A 20,412-nucleotide genomic window follows, 5' to 3' on the forward strand; every position below is an offset into this window, starting at 1 on the left:
GGACTCGAATGGAATAAACTTTGAATGGAAACGAAGGGAATCATCAAATGGAATCGAATGCAATCATCGAACGGAATCGAATGGAATCATCGAATGGAATCCAATGGAATCACCATTGAATGGACTCGAATGGAATCATCATTGAATGGAATCGAATGGAATCATCGAATGGACTCGAATGGAAACATCATCGATTGGAATCAAATGGAATCATCGAAAGGAATCGAAAGGAATCATCATCAACTGTAATGAACAGGAATCACTGAATTGAATCGAATGGAATCGTCATCAAAAATATTCGAATAGAATAATCAAATGGAATCAAATGCAATCAACATCAAGTGGAATCGAATGGAATCCTAGAATGACATCGAATGGAATCCTCATCGAATGGAATCAAAGGGAATCAATATCGAATGGAATCGAAAGCAATCACTGAATGGACTTGAATACAATCATCAAATGGATTTGAAGGGAATACTCATTGAATGGAATAGAACAAAAACATTGAATGGACACGAATGGAATCATCATCGAATGGAATCAAATGGAGTCATCAAATGGACTCGAATGGAATCATCATCAAATGGGATCATCATCAAATGGAATCGAATGGAGTCATCGAATGGACACGAATGAATGAACAAATGGACTCGAATGGAAACATCAAATAGAATCGAATGGAATCATCGAAAGGAATTGAATGCAATGATTGAATGGACTCGAATGGAATCATCTAAAGGACACGAATGAATGGAATCATTGAATGGACTCGAATGGAATCATCGAATGGACTCAAATGGAATCATCATCAAATGGAATCGAATGGAATCATCGAATGGACTCGAATGGAATCATCCCATGGAATCAAACCGAATCGTCATCGAATGGAATCGAATGGAATCATCGAATGGAATTGAAGGCAATCATCATCGAATGGAATCGAATGGAATCATCAACAAATGGAATCAAGTGGAAGGAATCATCAAATGGAATCAAAAGGAATCATTGTTGAATGGAATGGAATGGAATCATTGAATGGAATTGAATGGGATCACCAATGAACGGAATCAAATGGAATCATCTTCTAATGGAATCGTAAGGAATCATCAAATACACTCGAATGGAATCATCATCGAATGGAATCATGTGGAATCATCGAATGAACTGGAAATGAATCATAATCAAACGCAATTAAAATGAATCATCATCGAAAGGAATCACATGTTATCATCATCGAATGGAATCATACGGAAACATCACAGAATGGAATTGAATGGAATCATCAGCTAGACTCGAATGGAATCATCAAATGTACTCCAAGGGACGCGTCAAATGGACTCGAACGGAATCATCATCGAATGGAATCGAACGGGATCATCAAAAGGACTCGAATCAAATCTTCAAAAGGACTCAAAGGGAATCATTGTAGAATGGAAATGAATAGAGTCATCAGACAGCCTCGAATGGAAGCATCATTGAATGGAATTGATTGGAAACATCGAATTCACTCGAATGGAATGATCATCTGATGCAATTGAATGGAATCACCGAATGGACACAAATGGAATCATCATCAAATGGAATCCATTGGAACGATCAAATGGAATCGCATGGAATTATCAAATGGAATCGAATGGAATCATCTTTGAATGGAATCCAATGGAATCATCGAATGGAATCGAATGCAATCATCATTGAATGGAATCGAATGGAATCATCGAATGGTATCCAAAGGAATCACCATTGAATGCCCTCGCATGGAATCATCATCATATAGAGTAGAAAGGAATCATTGAATGGACTGGAATGGATCCATCATTGAATGGAATCACCAAATGGAATCAAATGGAATCATCATCAAATGAAATCAAATGGAATCATCAAATGGAATCGAATGGAATCATCATTGAATGGATTCGAATAGAATCTTTGAATGAAATTGAATGGAATCAGCATGAAATGGAATCTAAAGGAATCATAGAATGGTATCGAATGGAATCATCATCGAATGGAATGGAATGGAATGGAATGGAATGGAATCAGCATCGAATGGAATCAAAAGCAATCATTCAATGGACTCTAATAGAATCAGCGAATAGACTTGAATGTAATCATCATCGAGTGGAGAAGAATGGAATCATCGAATGGACACGAATGGAATCATCATCGAATGGAATCAAATGGAATCGTCATCGAATGGAATCGTATGGAATCATCTAATGGACACGAATGGAATCATCATCGAATTGAATAGAATGCAATCATCATCAAATGGAATCGAATGGAATCATCATCAAATAGAATCGAATGGAATCATCAAATGGAATCGAATGGAGTCATTGTCTAATGCAATCGAATGAAATCATAGAATGGAATCCCATGGAATCAACATAGAATGGAATCGATTGGAATCATTATCAAATAGAATTGAATGGAATCACTGAATGGAATCCTCATCAAATGGACTCCAACGGAATCATCGAATTGACTCTAATGGAATCATCACTGAATGGAATAGAATGGAATAATCAAATGGAAACGAATGGAATCATCATCGAATGGAATCGAATGGAATCATCGAATGGAATCGAATGGAATCATGGTCGAACGGAAAATAAGGGAATCATCAAGTGGACACGAATGGAATCAACATCTAATGGAATGGAATGGAATCATCAAATGGAATGGAATGGAATCATCATCGAATGGAATCAAATGGAATCATCAAACGGAATCAAATGGAATCATCAATGAATGGAATCAAATGGTATCATGGAATGGAATTGAATGGAATCGTCTTTGAGTGGAATCTAAAGGAATCACCGAATGGACTCCAATCATCGGATGGAATAAAGTGGAATCATCGAGTGTAGTTGAATGCAATCATCATCGAATGGAACTGAATGGAATCAACGAATGGAATAGAAAGGAATCGTAGAAGGGACGCGAATGGAATCATCATTGAATGGAATCAAATGGAATCATCATGGAATGGAATTGAATGGAATTATCGAATGGACTCGAAAGGAATTGTGCTCGAATGGAATCTAATGGAATCATCAAATGGACTCAAATGGAATCATCATCGAATGAAATCATATGGAATCATCGAATGCAACTGAATGGAATCATTGAGTGGACTTGAAAGGAATTATTATGGAATGGAATTGAATGGAATCATTGAATGGACTTGAAAGGAATCATCATCAAGTGGAATCGAATGGAATCATTGAATGGACTCGAATTGAATCTTTGAATGGAATCGAATGGAATCGAATGGAATCATCATTGAATGGAGTCAAATGGAATCATCATCAAATGGAATTGAATGGAATCTTCATTGAATCGACTCGAAAGGAATCATCATCAATTGGAATCTAATCGAATCATCAATGAAGGGAATCGAATGGAAGCATCATCGAATGGAATCGAATGGAATCATCAACAAGTGGAAACGAATGAAATCATTGAATGGAATCCAATGGTGTCATCGAATGGACACGAAAGGAATCATCGAATGGAATCAAATGGAATCACCATCGAATGGAATCCAATGGAATCACGATCGAATGGAATGTTATGAAATCATCTCATGGAATCGAAGGGAATCATCATCGAATGGAATCGAATGGAATCATTGAATGAAAAGGAAAGGAATCACCATCGAATGGAATGTTATGGAATCTTCTAATGGACTGGAAGGCAATCATCATCGAATGGCATCGAATGGAATCATCGACTGGAAAAGAATGGAATCATCATCGAATGGAAATGAATAGAATCACAGAATGAAATCGAATGGAATCATCATCGAATGGAGTCTAATGGAATAATCATCGAATGGAATAGAATGGAATCATCGAGTGGACACGAATGGAATCATCATTGAATGGAATCGAATAGAATCATCATATGGACTTGAATGGAAACAACATCGAATGGAATCGAATTTAGTCATTGAATTGCATTGAGTGGAATCATCATTGAATGGAGTCTAAGGAAATCATCGAACGGACTCGAGTGGAATCATCGAATGGACTCGAGGGGAATCATCATCGAATGGAATCGACTGTAATCATCGATTGGACTCGAATAGAATCATCATTGAATGGAATCGAATGGAATCAACGAATGGACTCGAATAGAATCATCATCGAATGGAATCGAAATCAAAGAATGGACTCTAATGGAGTCATCATCAAATGGAATCTAATAGAATCATCTAATGGACCTGAAAGGAATCATCATTGAATGGAATGGAATGGAATCATCGAATGGACTCGAATGGAATCATCATCGAATGGAATCTAATGGAATCATTGAATGGACTCGAATGGAATAATCGAATGGGCTTGAGTGGAATCATCATCAAATGGAATCGAATGGAATCATCAAATGGACTCGAATGGAAACATAGTCAAATGGAATCGAATGGAATCATCATCAAATGGAATCGAATGGAATCCTCATCGAATGGAATCGAACGGAATCATCATGGAATGGAATCACAAAATTGAATCGAATGGAATGATCATCAAAGACAATCGAAGGGAAACATCGAATGGGATTGAACGGAGTCATCGAATGGAATCGATAGGAATCATCGAATGGATTCAAATGGAATCATCATCGAATGGAAACGAACGGAATCATCGAATGGACAGGAATGGAATCATCATCAAATAGGATTGAATGGAATCATCCAATGGCATCGAATGGAATCACCATTGAATGGAATCGAATGGAATCATCGAATGGCATCGAATGGAATCGTCATCGAATAAAATCAAATGGAATAATCGAATGTACTCGAATGGAATCATCAAATGGATTTGAGAGGAATCATCATCGAATGGAATTGAACAGAATCATCAAAAGGACTCGAATGGAATCCTCATTGAATGGAATCGAATGGAATCGTTGAATGGAGTCGAATGGAATCATCAGCAAATGGAATCGAATGGAATCATTGAATATCAACGAATGGAGTCATCATCGAATGGAGTCGAATGGAATCATCAAATGAACTCGAATGCAATCATCATAGAATGGAATCGAATGGAATCTTTGAATGGACCTGAATGGAATCATCATCGAATGCAAACGAATGGAATCATCATCAAATGGAATCACATGGAATCATCAAATGGAAAAGAATTGAATAATCATAGAAAGGAATTGAATGGAATCATCGAATGAAACCGAATGGAATCATCATCGAATGCAATCGAATGGAATCATCATCGAATGGAATCGAATGGAATCACCAACGAATGGAATTCAAAGGAATCATCATCGAATGGAACCAAATAGAATCATCAAATGGACTCGAAAGGAATCATCGAATGGACTCGAATGGAGTTGTCATCGAATGGAGTCAAATGGAATCATCGGACGGAATTGAATCGAATCATCATTGAATGAAATCGAATGGAATCATCGAATGGACTCGAATGGAAGCAATATCAAATGGAATCGAAAGGAATCATGGAATGCAGTCAAAGGGAATAATCAAATGGACTCAAATGGAATCAACATCAAGTTTAATCGAAAGGAAACATCGAATGGACCGGAATGGAATCATCATCGAATGGAATCGAATGGAATCATCGAATGGACTTGAATGGAATCACTATCTAATGGAACCGAATGGAATCATCATGGAATGGAACCGGAAGGAGTCATCATCAAATGGAATCCAATGAAATCATTGAATGGACTCGAATGGAATCATCATCAACTGGAATTGAATGGAATCATCGAACGGACTCCAGTGGAATCCTCGGAGAATGGAATCGAATGGAATTATCAAATGGACTCGAATGGAATAAACTTTGAATGGAATCGAAGGGAATCATCAAATGGAATCGAATGCTTTCATCGAACGGAATCGAATGGCATCACCGAATGGAATCCAATGGAATCACCATTGAATGGACTCGAATGGAATCATCATTGAATGGAATCGAATGGAATCATCGAATGGACTCGAATGGAATCATCATCGATTGGAATCAATTGGAATCATCGAATGGAATCGAAAGGAATCATCATCAACTGTAATGAACTGGAATCACTGAATGGAATCGAATGGAATCGTCATCAAAATTATCGAATAGAATAATCAAATGGAATCAAATGCAATCAACATCAAATGGAATCGAATGGAATCCTAGAATGACATCGAATGGAATCCTCATCGAATGGAATCAAAGGGAATCAATATCGAATGGAATCGAAAGCAATCACTGAATGGACTTGAATACAATCATCAAATGGATTTGAAGGGAATCCTCATTGAGTGGAATAGAACAAAAACATTGAATGGACACGAATGGAATCAACATCGAATGGAATCAAATGGAGTCATCAAATGGACTCCAATGGAATCATCATCAAATGGGATCATCATCAAATGTAATCGAATGGAGTCATCGAATGGACACGAATGAATGAACAAATGGACTCGAATGGAAACATCAAATAGAATCGAATGGAATCATCGAAAGGAATTGAATGGAATTATTGAATGGACTCGAATGGAATCATATAATGGACACGAATGGAATAATCATAAAATGGAATCGAATGGAATCATCAAATAGACTCGAATGAATGGAATCATTGAATAGACTCGAATGGAATCATCGAATGGACTCAAATGGAATCATCATCAAATGGAATCGAATGGAATCATCGAATGGACTCGAATGGAATCATCAAATGGAATCAAACCGAATCGTCATCGAATGGAATCGAATGGAATCATCGAATGGAATTGAAGGCAATCACCATCGAATGGAATCGAATGGAATCATCATCAAATCGAATCAAGCGGAAGGAATCATCAAATGGAATCAAATGGAATCATTGTTGAATGGAATGGAATGGAATCGTTGAATGGAATTGAATGGGATCACCAATGAACGGAATCAAATGGAATCATCTTCTAATGGAATCGAAAGGAATCATCAAATACACTCGAATGGAAATATCATCGAATGGAATCATGTGGAATCGTCGAATGAACTGGAAATGAATCATAATCAAATGCAATTAAAATGAATCATCATTGAAAGGAAACACATGGAATCATCATCGAATGGAATCATACGGAAACATCACAGAATGGAATTGAATGGAATCATCAGTTGGACTCGAATGGACTCATCAAATGTCCTCGAAGGGACGCGTCAAATGGACTCGAACGGAATCATCCTCGAATGGAATCGAACGAGATCATCGAAAGGACTCGAATCAAATCTTCAAAAGGACTCAAAGGGAATCATTGTAGAATGGAAATGAATAGAGTCATCAGACAGCCTCGAATGGAAGCATCATTGAATGGAATTGATTCCAAACATCGAATTCACTCGAATGGAATCATCATCGTATGGAATTCAATGGAATCATCGAATGGACACAAATAGAATCATCATCAAATGGAATCCATTGGAACGATCGAATGGAATCGCATGGAATTATCAAATGGAATCGAATGGAATCATCTTTGGATGGAATCAAATGGAATCATCGAATGGAATCGAATGCAATCATCATTGAATAGAATCGAATGGAATCATGCAATGGTATCCAAAGGAATCAACATTGAATGACCTCGCATGGAATCATCATCAAATAGAGTAGAAAGGAATCATTGAATGGACTCGAATGGAACCATCATTGAATGGAATCACCAAATGGAATCAAATGGAATCATCATCAAATGAAATCAAATGGAATCATCAAATGGAATCGAATGGAATCATCATTGAATGGATTCGAATAGAATCTTTCAATGAAATTGAATGGAATCAGCATGAAATGGAATCTAAAGGAATCATAGAATGGTATCGAATGGAATCATCATCGAATGGAATGGAATGGAATGGAATGGAATGGAATCAGCATCGAATGGAATCAAAAGCAATCATTCAATGGACTCTAATAGAATCATCGAATAGACTTGAATGTAATCATCATCGAATGGAGAAGAATGGAATCATCATCAAATGGAATCGAGTGGAATCATATAATGGACCCGAATGGAATCATCATTCAATGGAATAGAATGGAATCGTCATCGAATGGAATCGTATGGAATCATCTAATGGACACGAATGGAATCATCATCGAATTGAATAGAATGCAATCATCATCAAATGGAATCGAATGGAATCATCATCAAATAGAATCGAATGGAATCATCAAATGGAATCGAATGGAGTCATTGTCTAATGCAATCGAAAGAAATCATAGAATGGAATCCCATGGAATCAACATCGAATGGAATCGATGGGAATCATTATCAAATAGAATTGAATGGAATCACTGAATGGAATCATCATCAAATGGACTCCAATGGAATCATCGAATTGACACTAATGGTATCATCATTGAATGGAATAGAATGGAATAATCAAATGGAAACGAATGGAATCATCATCGAATGGAATCGAATGGTATCATCAAATGCACTTGAATGGAATCATCAATGAATGGAATCGAATGGTATAATCGAATGGAATCAAACGGAATCATCTTCGAGTGGAAACTAAAGGAATCGCCAAATGGACTCCAATGGAATAATCATCGTATGGAATCGAGTGGAATCATCGAATGTACTCGAATGGAATCATCGAATGTACTCGAATGGAATCATCGAATGGAATCGAATGGAATCATGGTCGAACGGAAAAGAATGGAATCATCAAGCGGACACGAATGGAATCAACATCTGATGGAATGGAATGGAATCATCAAATGGAATGGAATGGAATCATCATCGAATGGAATAAAATGGAATCATCAAATGGAATCAAATGGAATCATCAATGAATGGAATCGAATGGTATCATGGAATGGAATTGAATGGAATCGTCTTTGAGTGCAATGTAAAGGAATCACCGAATGGACTCCAATCGTCGGATGGAATCGAGTGGAATCATCGAATGTAGTCGAATGCAATCATCATCGAATGGAATTGAATGGAATCAACGAATGGAATAGAAAGGAATCGTAGAATGGACTCGAATGGAATCATCATTGAATGGAATCAAATGGAATCATCATGGAATGGAATTGAATGGAATCATCGAATGGACTTGAAAGGAATTATGCTCGAATGGAATCTAATGTAATCATCAAATGGACTCAAATGGAATCATCATCGAATGAAAACGTATGGAATCATAGAATGCAACTGAATGGAATCATTGAATGGACTTGTAAGGAATTATTATCGAATGGAATTGAATGGAATCATTGAATGGACTTGAAAGGAATCATCATCAAATGGAATCGAATTTAATCATTGAATGGACTCGAATTGAATCTTTGAATGGAATCGAATGGAATCATCATTGAATGTAGTCAAATGGAATCATCATCAAATGGAATTGAATGGAATCTTCATTGAATGGACTCGAATGGAATCATCATCAAATGGAATCTAATCGAATCATCAATGAAGGGAATCGACTGGAATCATCATCGAATGGAATCGAAAGGAATCATCAACAAGTGGATACGAATGAAGTCATCGAATGGAATTCAATGGTGTCATCGAATGGACATGAAAGGAATAATCGAAACGAATCAAATGGAATAACCATCGAATGGAATCCAAAGGAATCACCATCGAATGGAATGTTATGAAATCATCTCATGGAATCCAAGGGAATCATCATCGAATGGAATCGAATGTAATCATTGAATGAAATGGAAAGGAATCACCATCGAATGGAATGTTATGGAATCTTCTAATGGACTCGAAGGGAATCATCATCGAATGGAATCGAATGGAAACATTGAATGCAATTGAATGGAATCATCGAATGGAATCTGAATGGGATCATCAATGAATGGAATCAAATGGAATCATCTAATGGACGCGAATGGAATCATCATCGAATGCAATGAAATGTAATTCAATCGAATGGACATGAATGGAATCATCATTGAATGGAATCAAATGGAATCCTCATCGAATGGAATCGAATGGAATCATCAAATGGAATAGAATGGAGTCATCGTCGAATGTAATCGAATGTAATCATCGAATGGCATCGAATGGAATCATCGACTGGAAAAGAATGGAATCATCATCGAATGGAAATGAATAGAATCACAGAATGAAATCGAATGGAATCATCATGGAATGGAGTCTAATGGAATAATCATCGAATGGAATAGAATGGAATCTTCGAGTGGACACGAATGGAATCATCATTGAATGGAATCGAATAGAATCATCAAATGGACTTGAATGGAAACAACATCGAATGGAATCGAATTTAGTCACTGAATTGCATTGAGTGGAATCATCATTGAATGGAATCTAAGGAAATCATCGAACGGACTCGAGTGGAATATTCGAATGGACACGAGGGGAATCATCATCGAATGGAATTGACTGTAATCATCGATTGGACTCGAATGGAATCATGATTGAATGGAATCGAATGGAATCAACGAATGGACTCCAATAGAATCATCATCGAATGGAATCGAATGGAATCAAAGAATGGACTCTAATGGAGTCATCATCAAATGGAATCTAATGGAATCATCTAATGGACCTGAAAGGAATCATCATTGAATGGAATCGAATGGAATCATCGAATGGACTCGAATGGAGTCATCATCGAATGGAATCTAATGGAATCATTGAATGGACTCGAATGGAATAATCGAATGGGCTTGAGTGGAATCATCATCAAATGGAATCGAATGGAATCATCAAATGGACTCGAATGGAATCATCGTCAAATGGAATCGAATGGAATCATCATTCAATGGAATCGAATGGAATCCTCATCGAATGGAATCGAACGGAATCATCATGGAATGGAATCACCAAATTGAATCGAATGGAATGATCATCAAAGACAATCGAAGGGAAACATCGAATGGGATTGAACAGAGTCATCGAATGGAATCGATAGGAATCATCGAATAGATTCAAATGGAATCATCATCGAATGGAAACGAACGGAATCATCGAATGGACACGGATGGAATCATCATCAAATAAGACTGAATGGAATCATCGAATGGCATCGAATGGAATCACCATTGAATGGAATCGAATGGAATCATCGAATGGCATCGAATGGAATCATTATCGAATAAAATCAAATGGAATAATCGAATGTACTCGAATGGAATCATCAAATGTATTTGAGAGGAATCATCATCGAATGGAATTGAACAGAATCATCAAAAGGACTCGAATGGAATCCTCATTGAATGGAATCGAATGGAATCGTTGAATGGAGTCGAATGGAATCATCAGCAAATGGAATCGAATGGAATCATTGAATATCAACGAATGGAATCATCATCGAATGCAGTCGAATGGAATCATCAAATGAACTCGAATGCAATCATCATAGAATGGAATCGAATGGAATCTTTGAATGGACCTGAATGGAATCATCATCGAATGCAAACGAATGGAATCATCATCAAGTGGAATCACATGGAATCATCAAATGGAAAAGAATTGAATACTCATAGAAAGGAATTGAATAGAATCATCGAATGAAACCGAATGGAATCATCATCGAATGGAATCGAATGGAATCATCATCGAATGCAATTGAATGGAATCATCATCGAATGGAATCGAATGGAATCACCAACGAATGGAATTCAAAGGAATCATCATCGAATGGAACCAAATAGAATCATCAAATGGACTCGAAAGGAATCATCGAATGGGCTCGAATGGAGTTGTCATCAAATGGAATCAAATGGAATCATCAAACGGAATTGAATCGAGTCATCATTGAATGAAATCAAATGGAATCATCGAATGGACTCGAGTGGAAGCAATATCAAATGGAATCGAAAGGAATCATGGAATGCATTCAAAGGGAATAATCAAATGGACTCCAATGGAATCAAAATCAAGTGGAATCGAATGGAATCATCGAATGGACTTGAATGGAATCACTATCTAATGGAACCGAATGGAATCATCATGGAATGGAACCGGAAGGAGTCATTATCAAATGGAATCCAATGAAATCATTGAATGGACTCGAATGGAATCATCATCAACTGGAATTGAATGGAATCATCGAACGGACACCAGTGGAATCATCGGAGAATGGAATCGAATGGAATTATCAAACGGACTCGAATGGAATAAACTTTGAATGGAATCGAAGGGAATCATCAAATGGAATCGAATGCAATCATCGAACAGAATCGAATGGCATCACCAAATGGAATCCAATAGAATCACCATTGAATGGACTCGAATGGAATCATCATTGAATGGAATAGAATGGAATCGTCATCGAATTGAATAGAATGCAATCATCATCAAATGGAATCGAATGGAATCATCATCACTGAATGGAATCTAAGGAAATCATCGAATGGACTCGAGTGGAATCATCGAATGGACTCGAGGGGAATCATCATTGAATGGAATCGACAGTAATCAACGAATGGACTCGAACAGAATCATCATCGAATGGAATCGAATGGAATCAAAGAATGGACTCTAATGGAGTCATCATCTAATGGAATCTAATGGGATCATCTAATGGACCTGAAAGGAATCATCATTGAATGGAATCGAATGGAATCATCGAATGGACTCGAATGGAATCATCATCGAATGGAATCTAATGGAATCATTGAATGGACTCGAATGGAATAATCGAATGGGCTTGAGTGGAATCATCATCAAATGGAATCGAATGGAATCATCAAATGGACTCGAATGGAATCATCGTCAAATGGAATCGAATGGAATCATCATCAAATGGAATCGAAGGGAATCCTCATCGAATGGAATCGAACGGAATCGTCATCGAATGGTATCACCAAATTGAATCGAATGGAATGATCGTCAAAGACAATCGAATTGAAACATCGAACGGGATTGAACGGAGTCATCGAATGGAATCGATAGGAAACATCGAAAGGATTCAAATGGACTCATCATCGAATGGAATCAAATGGAGTCATCCAATGGACTCGAATGGAATCATCATGAAATGGGATCATTATCAAATGGAATCGAATGGAGTCATCGAATGGACACGAATGAATGAACAAATGGACTCGAATGGAAACATCAAATAGAATCGAATGGAATCATCAAAAGGAATTGAATGGAATTATTGAATGGACTCGAATGGAATCATCTAATGGACACGAATGGAATAATCATAAAATGCAATCGAATGGAATCATCAAATGGACTCGAATGAATGGAATCATTAAATGGACTCGAATGGAATCATCGAATGGACTCAAATGGAATCATCATCAAATGGAATCGAATGGAATCATCGAATGGACTCGAATGGAATCATCAAATGGAATCAAACCGAATCGTCATCGAATGGAATCGAATGGAATCATCGAATGGAATTGAAGGCAATCATCATCGAATGGAATCGAATGGAATCATCATCAAATGGAATCAAGCGGAAGGAATCATCAAATGGAATCAAATGGAATCATTGTTGAATGGAATGGAATGGAATCATTGAATGGAATTGAATGGGATCACCAATGAACGGAATCAAATGGAATCATCTTCTAATGGAATCGAAAGGAATCATCAAATACACTCGAATGGAATCATCATCGAATGGAATCGTGTGGAATCGTCGAATGAACTGGAAATGAATCCTAATCAAATGCAATTAAAATGAATCATCATCGAAAGGAATCACATGGAATCATCATCGAATGGAATCATACGGAAACATCACAGAATGGAATTGAATGGAATCATCAGTTGGACTCGAATGGAATCATCAAATGTACTCGAAGGGACGCGTCAAATGGACTCGAAAGGAATCATCATCGAATGGAATCGAATGGGATCATCGAAAGGACTAGAATCAAATCTTCAAAAGGACTCAAAGGGAATCATTGTAGAATGGAAATGAATAGAGTCATCAGACAGCCTCGAATTTAAGCATCATTGAATGGAATTGATTGGAAACATCGAATTCACTCGAATGGAACCATCATCTGATGGAATTGAATGGAATCATCGAATAGACACAAATGGAATCATCATCAAATTGAATCCATTGGAACGATCGAATGGAATCGCATGGAATTATCAAATGGAATCGAATGGAATCATCTTTGAATGGAATGAAACGGAATCATCGAATGGAATCGAATGCAATCATCATTGAATGCAATCGAATGGAATCATTGAATGGTATCCAAAGGAATCACCATTGAATGCCCTCGCATGGAATCATCATCAAATAGAGTAGAAAGGAATCATTGAATGGACTCGAATGGAACCATCATTGAATGGAATCACCAAATGGAATCAAATGGAAACATCATCAAATGAAATCAAATGGAATCATCAAATGGAATCTAATGGAATCATCATTGAATGGATTTGAATAGAATCTTTGAATGAAATTGAATGGAATCAGCATGAAATGGAATCTAAAGGAATCATAAAATGGTATCGAATGGAATCATCATCGAATGGAATGGAGTGGAATGGAATGGAATGGAATCAGCATCGAATGGAATCAAAAGCAATCATTCAATGGACTCTAATAGAATCATCGAATAGACTTGAATGTAATCATCATCGAATGGAGAAGAATGAAATCATCGAATGGACCCGAATGGAATCATCATCAAAAGGAATCGAATGGAATCATATAATTGACCCGAATGGAATCATCATTGAATGGAATAGAATGGAATCGTCATCGAATGGAATCGTATGGAATCATCTAATGGACCCGAATGGAATCATCATCGAATTGAATAGAATGCAATCATCATCAAATGGAATCGAATGGAATCATCATGAAATAGAATCAAATGGAATCATCAATTGGAATCGAATGGAGTCATTGTCTAATGCAACCGAATGAAACCATAGAATGGAATACCATGGAATCAGCATCGAATGGAATCGATTGGAATCATTATCAAATAGAATTGAATGGAATCACTGAATGGAATCATCATCAAATGGACTCCAACGGAATCATCGAATTGACTCTAATGGAATCATCACTGAATGGAATGGAAATGAATAATCAAGTGGAAACGAATGGAATCATCATCAAATGGAATCGAATGTTATCATCAAATGCACTTGAATGGAATCATGAATGAATGGAATCGAATGGTATAATCGAATGGAATCAAATTGAATCATCTTCGAGTGGAACCTAAAGGAATCGCCAAATGGACTCCAATGGAATAATCGTCGTATGGAATCGAGTGGAATCATCGAATATACTCGAATGGAATCATCGAATGCAATCGAATGGAATCATCGAATGTACTCGAATGGAATCATGGTCGAACGGAAAAGAATGGAATCATCAAGTGGACACGAATGGAATCAACATCTAATGGAATGGAATGGAATCATCAAATGGAATGGAATGGAATCATCATCGAATGGAATAAAATGGAATCATCAAATGGAATCAAATGGAATCATCAATGAATGGAATCGAATGGTATCATGGAATGGAATTGAATGGAATCGTCTTTGAGTGGAATCTAAAGGAATCACCGAATGGACTCCAATCATCAGATGGAATCGAGTGGAATCATTGAATGTCGTCGAATGCAATCATCATCGAATGGAATTGAATGGAATCAACGAATGGAATAGAAAGGAATCATAGAATGGACTCGAATGGAATCATCATTGAATGGAATGAAATGGAATCATCATGGAATGGAATTGAATGGAATCATCGAATGGACTCGAAAGGAATTATGCTCGAATGGAATCTAATGGAAACATCAAATGGACTCAAATGGAATCATCATCGAATGAAATCGTATGGAATCATCGAATGCAACTGAATGGAATCATTGAATGGACTTGAGAGGAATTATTATCTAATGGAATTGAATGGAATCATTGAATGGACTTGAAAGGAATCATCATCAAGTGGAATCGAATGGAATCATTGAATGGACTCGAATTGAATCTTTGAATGGAATCGAATGGAATCATCATTGAATGGAGTCAAATGGAATCATCATCAAATGGAATTGAATGGAATCTTCATTGAATGGAATCGAATGGAATCATCATCAAATGGAATCTAATCGAATCATCAATGAAGGGAATCGAATGGAATCATCATCGAATGGAATCGAATGGAATCATCAACAAGTGGAAACGAATGAAATCATCGAATGGAATCCAATGGTGTCATCGAATGGACACGAAAGGAATCATCGAATGGAATCAAATGGAATCACCATCGAATGAAATCAAATGGAATCACTATCGAATGGTATGTTATGAAATTATCTCATGGACTCGAAGGGAATCATCATCGAATGGAATCGAATGGAATCATTGAATGAAATGGAAAGGAATCACCATCGAATGGAATGTTATGGAATCTTCTAATGGACTCGAAGGGAATCATCATCGAATGGAATCGAATGGAATCATTGAATGCAATTGAATGGAATCATCAAATGGAATCGAATGGAATCATCAAATGGAATCTGAATGGAATCATCAATGAATGGAATCAAATGGAATCATCTAATGGACGTGAATGGAATCATCATCGAAAGCAATGAAATGTAATTCAATCGAATGGACATGAATGGAATCATCATTGAATGGAATCAAATGGAATCCTCATCGAATGGAATCGAATGGAATCATCAAATGGAATAGAATGGAGTCATCGTCGAATGTAATCGAATGTAATCATCGAATGGCATCGAATGGAATCGTCGACTGGAAAAGAATGGAATCATCATCGAATGGAAATGAATAGATTCACAGAATGAAATCGAATGGAATCATCATCGAATGGAGTCTAATGGAATAATCATCGAATGGAATAGAATGGAATCATCGAGTGGACACGAATGTAACCATCACTGAATTGAATCGAATAGAATCATCAAATGGAATTGAACGGAAACAACATCGAATGGAATCGAATTTAGTCATTGAATTGCATTGAGTGGAATCATCATTGAATGGAATCTAAGGAAATCATCGAATGGACTCGAGTGGAATCATCGAATGGACTCGAGGGGAATCATCATCGAATGGAAACGACTGTAATCATCAATTGGACTTGAATGGAATCATAATTGAATGGAATCGAATGGAATCAACGAATGGACTCGAATAGAATCATCATCGAATGGAATCGAATGGAATCAAAGAATGGACACTAATGGAGTCATCATCAAATAGAATCTAATGGAATCATCTAATGGACCTGAAAGGAATCATCATTGAATGGAATACAATGGAATCATCGAGTGAACTCGAATGGAATCATCATCGAATGGAATCTAATGGAATCATTGAATGGACTCGAATGGAATAAGCGAATGGGCTTGAGTGGAATCATCATCAAATGCAATCGAATGTAATCATCAAATGGACTCGAATGGAATCATCGTCAAATGGAATCGAATGTAATCATCATCAAATGGAACCGAATGGAATCCTCATCGAATGGAATCGAAAGGAATCATCATGGAATGGAATCACCAAATTGAATCGAATGGAATGATCATCAAAGACAATCGAAGGGGAACACCGAATGGGATTGAACGGAGTCATCGAATGGAATAGATAGGAATCATCGAATGGATTCAAATGGAATCATCATCGAATGGAAAGAACGGAATCATCGAATGGACACGAATGGAATCATCATCAAATAGGATTGAATGGAATCATCGAATGGCATCGAATGGAATCACCATTGAATGGAATCGAATGGAATCATCGAATGGCATCGAATGGAATCATCATCGAATAAAATCAAATGGAATAATCGAATGTACTCGAATGGAATCATCAAATTGATTTGATAGGAATCATCATCGAATGGAATTGAACAGAATCATCAAATGGACACGAAAGGAATCCTCATTGAGTGGAATCGAATGGAATCATTGAATGGAGTCGAATGGAATCATCAGCAAATGGAATCGAATGGAATCATTGAATAGCAACGAATGGAATCATCATCGAATGGAGTCGAATGGAATCATCAAATGAACTCGAATGCAATCATCATAGAATGGAATCGAATGGAATCTTTGAATGGACCTGAATGGAATCATCATCGAATGCAAACGAATGGAATCATCATCAAATGGAATCACATGGAATCATCAAATGGAAAAGAATTGAATAATCATAGAAAGGAATTGAATAGAATCATCGGATGAAACCGAATGGAATCATCATCGAATGGAATCGAATGGAATCATCATCGAATGCAATTGAATGGAATCATCATCGAATGGAATCGAATGGAATCACCAACGAATGGAATTCAAAGGAATCATCATCGAATGGAACCAAATAGAATCATGAAATGGACTCGAAAGGAATCATCGAATGGACTCGAATGGAGTTGTCATCGAATGGAGTCAAATGGAATCATCGAACGGAATTGAATCGAATCATCATTGAATGAAATCAAATGGAATCATCGAATGGACTCGAATGGAAGCAATATCAAATGGAATCGAAAGGAATCATGGAATGCATTCAAAGGGAATAATCAAATGGACTCAAATGGAATCAACATCAAATGGAATCGAAAGGAATCATCGAATGGAACGGAATGGAATCATCATCGAATGGAATCGAATGGAATCATCGAATGGACTTGAATGGAATCACTATCTAATGGAACCCAATGGAATCATCATGGAATGGAACCGGAAGGAGTCATCATCAAATGGAATCCAAGGAAATCATTAAATGGACTCGAATGGAATCACCATCAACTGGAATTGAATGGAATCATCGAACGGGATCCAGTGGAATCATCGGAGAATGGAATCGAATGGAATTATCAAACTGACTCGAATGGAATAAACTTTGAATGGAATCGAAGGGAATCATCAAATGGAATCGAATGCAATCATAGAACGGAATCGAATGGCATCACCGAATGGAATCCAATGGAATCACCATTGAATGGACTCGAATGGAATCATCATTGAATGGAATCGAATGGAATCATCGAATGGACTCGAATGGAATCATCATCGATTGGAATCAAATGGAATCATCGAATGGAATCGAAAGGAATCACCATCAACTGTAATGAACTGGAATCACTGAATGGAATCGAATGGAATCGTCATCAAAAAAAATCGAATAGAATAATCAAATGGAATCAAATGCAATCAACATCAAATGGAATCTAATGGAATCATAGAATGACATCGAATGGAACACTCATCGAATGGAATCAAAGGGAATCAATATCAAATGGAACCGAAAGCAATCACTGAATGGACTTGAATACAATCATCAAATGGATTTGAAGGGAATCCTCATTGAATGGGATAGAACAAAAACATTTAATGGACACGAATGGAATCATCATCAAATGGAATCAAATGGAGTCATCAAATGGACTCGAATGGAATCATCATCAAATGGGATCATCATCAAATGGAATCGAATGGAGTCATCGAATGGACACGAATGAATGAACAAACGGACTCGAATGGAAATGTCAAATAGAATCGAATGGAATGATCGAAAGGAATTGAATGGAATTATTGAATGGACACGAATGGAATCATCTAATGGACACGAATGGAATAATCATAAAATGCAATCGAATGGAATCATCAAATGGACTCGAATGAATGGAATCATTAAATGGACTCGAATGGAATCATCGAATGGACTCAAATGGAATCATCATCAAATGGAATCGAATGGAATCATCGAATGGACTCGAATGGAATCATCAAATGGAATCAAACCGAATCGTCATCGAATGGAATCGAATGGAATCATCGAATGGAATTGAAGGCAATCATCATCGAATGGAATCGAATGGAATCATCATCAAATGGAATCAAGCGGAAGGAATCATCAAATGGAATCAAATGGAATCATTGTTGAATGGGATGGAATGGAATCATTGAATGGAATTGAATGGGATCACCAATGAACGGAATCAAATGGAATCATCTTCTAATGGAATCGAAAGGAATCATCAAATACACTCGAATGGAATCATCCTCGAATGGAATCGTGTGGAATCGTCGAATGAACTGGAAATGAATCATAATCAAATGCAATTAAAATGAATCATCATCGAAAGGAATCACATGGAATCATCATCGAATGGAATCATACGGAAACATCACAGAATGGAATTGAATGGAATCATCAGTTGGACTCGAATGGAATCATCAAATGTACTCGAAGGGACGCGTCAAATGGACTCGAACGAAATCATCATCGAACGGAATCGAATGGGATTATCGAAAGGACTCGAATCAAATCTTCAAAAGGACTCAAAGGGAATCATTGTAGAATGGAAATGAATAGAGTCATCAGACAGCCTCGAATGGAAGCATCATTGAATGGAATTGATTGGAAACATCGAATTC

At 37.0% G+C, this 20,412-nt stretch overlaps 15 annotated features.

Annotated features, from left to right (window-relative positions):
* Window positions 144–705: an enhancer, noted in NCBI's record as "OCT4-NANOG hESC enhancer chr2:90391233-90391794 (GRCh37/hg19 assembly coordinates)". NCBI's record gives its function as "activates a minimal SCP1, AML or CMV promoter by ChIP-STARR-seq in naive H9 embryonic stem cells {active_cell/tissue: H9 hESC(naive)}" and the evidence as "EXISTENCE:reporter gene assay evidence [ECO:0000049][PMID:30033119]".
* Window positions 1,268–1,829: an enhancer, noted in NCBI's record as "OCT4-NANOG-H3K27ac hESC enhancer chr2:90390109-90390670 (GRCh37/hg19 assembly coordinates)". NCBI's record gives its function as "activates a minimal SCP1, AML or CMV promoter by ChIP-STARR-seq in naive H9 embryonic stem cells {active_cell/tissue: H9 hESC(naive)}" and the evidence as "EXISTENCE:reporter gene assay evidence [ECO:0000049][PMID:30033119]".
* Window positions 1,830–2,392: an enhancer, noted in NCBI's record as "OCT4-NANOG-H3K27ac hESC enhancer chr2:90389546-90390108 (GRCh37/hg19 assembly coordinates)". NCBI's record gives its function as "activates a minimal SCP1, AML or CMV promoter by ChIP-STARR-seq in primed H9 embryonic stem cells {active_cell/tissue: H9 hESC(primed)}" and the evidence as "EXISTENCE:reporter gene assay evidence [ECO:0000049][PMID:30033119]".
* Window positions 2,393–2,953: an enhancer, noted in NCBI's record as "OCT4-NANOG hESC enhancer chr2:90388985-90389545 (GRCh37/hg19 assembly coordinates)". NCBI's record gives its function as "activates a minimal SCP1, AML or CMV promoter by ChIP-STARR-seq in primed H9 embryonic stem cells {active_cell/tissue: H9 hESC(primed)}" and the evidence as "EXISTENCE:reporter gene assay evidence [ECO:0000049][PMID:30033119]".
* Window positions 3,517–4,078: an enhancer, noted in NCBI's record as "OCT4-NANOG-H3K27ac-H3K4me1 hESC enhancer chr2:90387860-90388421 (GRCh37/hg19 assembly coordinates)". NCBI's record gives its function as "activates a minimal SCP1, AML or CMV promoter by ChIP-STARR-seq in naive and primed H9 embryonic stem cells {active_cell/tissue: H9 hESC(naive and primed)}" and the evidence as "EXISTENCE:reporter gene assay evidence [ECO:0000049][PMID:30033119]".
* Window positions 4,079–4,641: an enhancer, noted in NCBI's record as "OCT4-NANOG-H3K27ac-H3K4me1 hESC enhancer chr2:90387297-90387859 (GRCh37/hg19 assembly coordinates)". NCBI's record gives its function as "activates a minimal SCP1, AML or CMV promoter by ChIP-STARR-seq in naive H9 embryonic stem cells {active_cell/tissue: H9 hESC(naive)}" and the evidence as "EXISTENCE:reporter gene assay evidence [ECO:0000049][PMID:30033119]".
* Window positions 5,766–6,327: an enhancer, noted in NCBI's record as "OCT4-NANOG-H3K27ac-H3K4me1 hESC enhancer chr2:90385611-90386172 (GRCh37/hg19 assembly coordinates)". NCBI's record gives its function as "activates a minimal SCP1, AML or CMV promoter by ChIP-STARR-seq in primed H9 embryonic stem cells {active_cell/tissue: H9 hESC(primed)}" and the evidence as "EXISTENCE:reporter gene assay evidence [ECO:0000049][PMID:30033119]".
* Window positions 6,917–7,427: an enhancer, noted in NCBI's record as "OCT4-NANOG hESC enhancer chr2:90384511-90385021 (GRCh37/hg19 assembly coordinates)". NCBI's record gives its function as "activates a minimal SCP1, AML or CMV promoter by ChIP-STARR-seq in primed H9 embryonic stem cells {active_cell/tissue: H9 hESC(primed)}" and the evidence as "EXISTENCE:reporter gene assay evidence [ECO:0000049][PMID:30033119]".
* Window positions 8,012–8,515: an enhancer, noted in NCBI's record as "OCT4-NANOG-H3K27ac hESC enhancer chr2:91604911-91605414 (GRCh37/hg19 assembly coordinates)". NCBI's record gives its function as "activates a minimal SCP1, AML or CMV promoter by ChIP-STARR-seq in naive and primed H9 embryonic stem cells {active_cell/tissue: H9 hESC(naive and primed)}" and the evidence as "EXISTENCE:reporter gene assay evidence [ECO:0000049][PMID:30033119]".
* Window positions 8,516–9,021: an enhancer, noted in NCBI's record as "OCT4-NANOG-H3K27ac hESC enhancer chr2:91604405-91604910 (GRCh37/hg19 assembly coordinates)". NCBI's record gives its function as "activates a minimal SCP1, AML or CMV promoter by ChIP-STARR-seq in naive and primed H9 embryonic stem cells {active_cell/tissue: H9 hESC(naive and primed)}" and the evidence as "EXISTENCE:reporter gene assay evidence [ECO:0000049][PMID:30033119]".
* Window positions 10,032–10,535: an enhancer, noted in NCBI's record as "OCT4-NANOG hESC enhancer chr2:91602891-91603394 (GRCh37/hg19 assembly coordinates)". NCBI's record gives its function as "activates a minimal SCP1, AML or CMV promoter by ChIP-STARR-seq in naive H9 embryonic stem cells {active_cell/tissue: H9 hESC(naive)}" and the evidence as "EXISTENCE:reporter gene assay evidence [ECO:0000049][PMID:30033119]".
* Window positions 14,236–15,025: an enhancer, noted in NCBI's record as "OCT4-NANOG-H3K27ac-H3K4me1 hESC enhancer chr2:91598401-91599190 (GRCh37/hg19 assembly coordinates)". NCBI's record gives its function as "activates a minimal SCP1, AML or CMV promoter by ChIP-STARR-seq in primed H9 embryonic stem cells {active_cell/tissue: H9 hESC(primed)}" and the evidence as "EXISTENCE:reporter gene assay evidence [ECO:0000049][PMID:30033119]".
* Window positions 15,026–15,815: an enhancer, noted in NCBI's record as "OCT4-NANOG-H3K27ac-H3K4me1 hESC enhancer chr2:91597611-91598400 (GRCh37/hg19 assembly coordinates)". NCBI's record gives its function as "activates a minimal SCP1, AML or CMV promoter by ChIP-STARR-seq in naive and primed H9 embryonic stem cells {active_cell/tissue: H9 hESC(naive and primed)}" and the evidence as "EXISTENCE:reporter gene assay evidence [ECO:0000049][PMID:30033119]".
* Window positions 15,816–16,605: an enhancer, noted in NCBI's record as "OCT4-NANOG-H3K27ac-H3K4me1 hESC enhancer chr2:91596821-91597610 (GRCh37/hg19 assembly coordinates)". NCBI's record gives its function as "activates a minimal SCP1, AML or CMV promoter by ChIP-STARR-seq in primed H9 embryonic stem cells {active_cell/tissue: H9 hESC(primed)}" and the evidence as "EXISTENCE:reporter gene assay evidence [ECO:0000049][PMID:30033119]".
* Window positions 16,619–17,310: an enhancer, noted in NCBI's record as "OCT4-NANOG-H3K27ac-H3K4me1 hESC enhancer chr2:90374628-90375319 (GRCh37/hg19 assembly coordinates)". NCBI's record gives its function as "activates a minimal SCP1, AML or CMV promoter by ChIP-STARR-seq in naive and primed H9 embryonic stem cells {active_cell/tissue: H9 hESC(naive and primed)}" and the evidence as "EXISTENCE:reporter gene assay evidence [ECO:0000049][PMID:30033119]".

This window comes from Homo sapiens, chromosome 2 (assembly GCF_000001405.40).
Source record: "Homo sapiens chromosome 2, GRCh38.p14 Primary Assembly".
NCBI classification, from domain to species: Eukaryota; Metazoa; Chordata; class Mammalia; order Primates; family Hominidae; genus Homo; species Homo sapiens.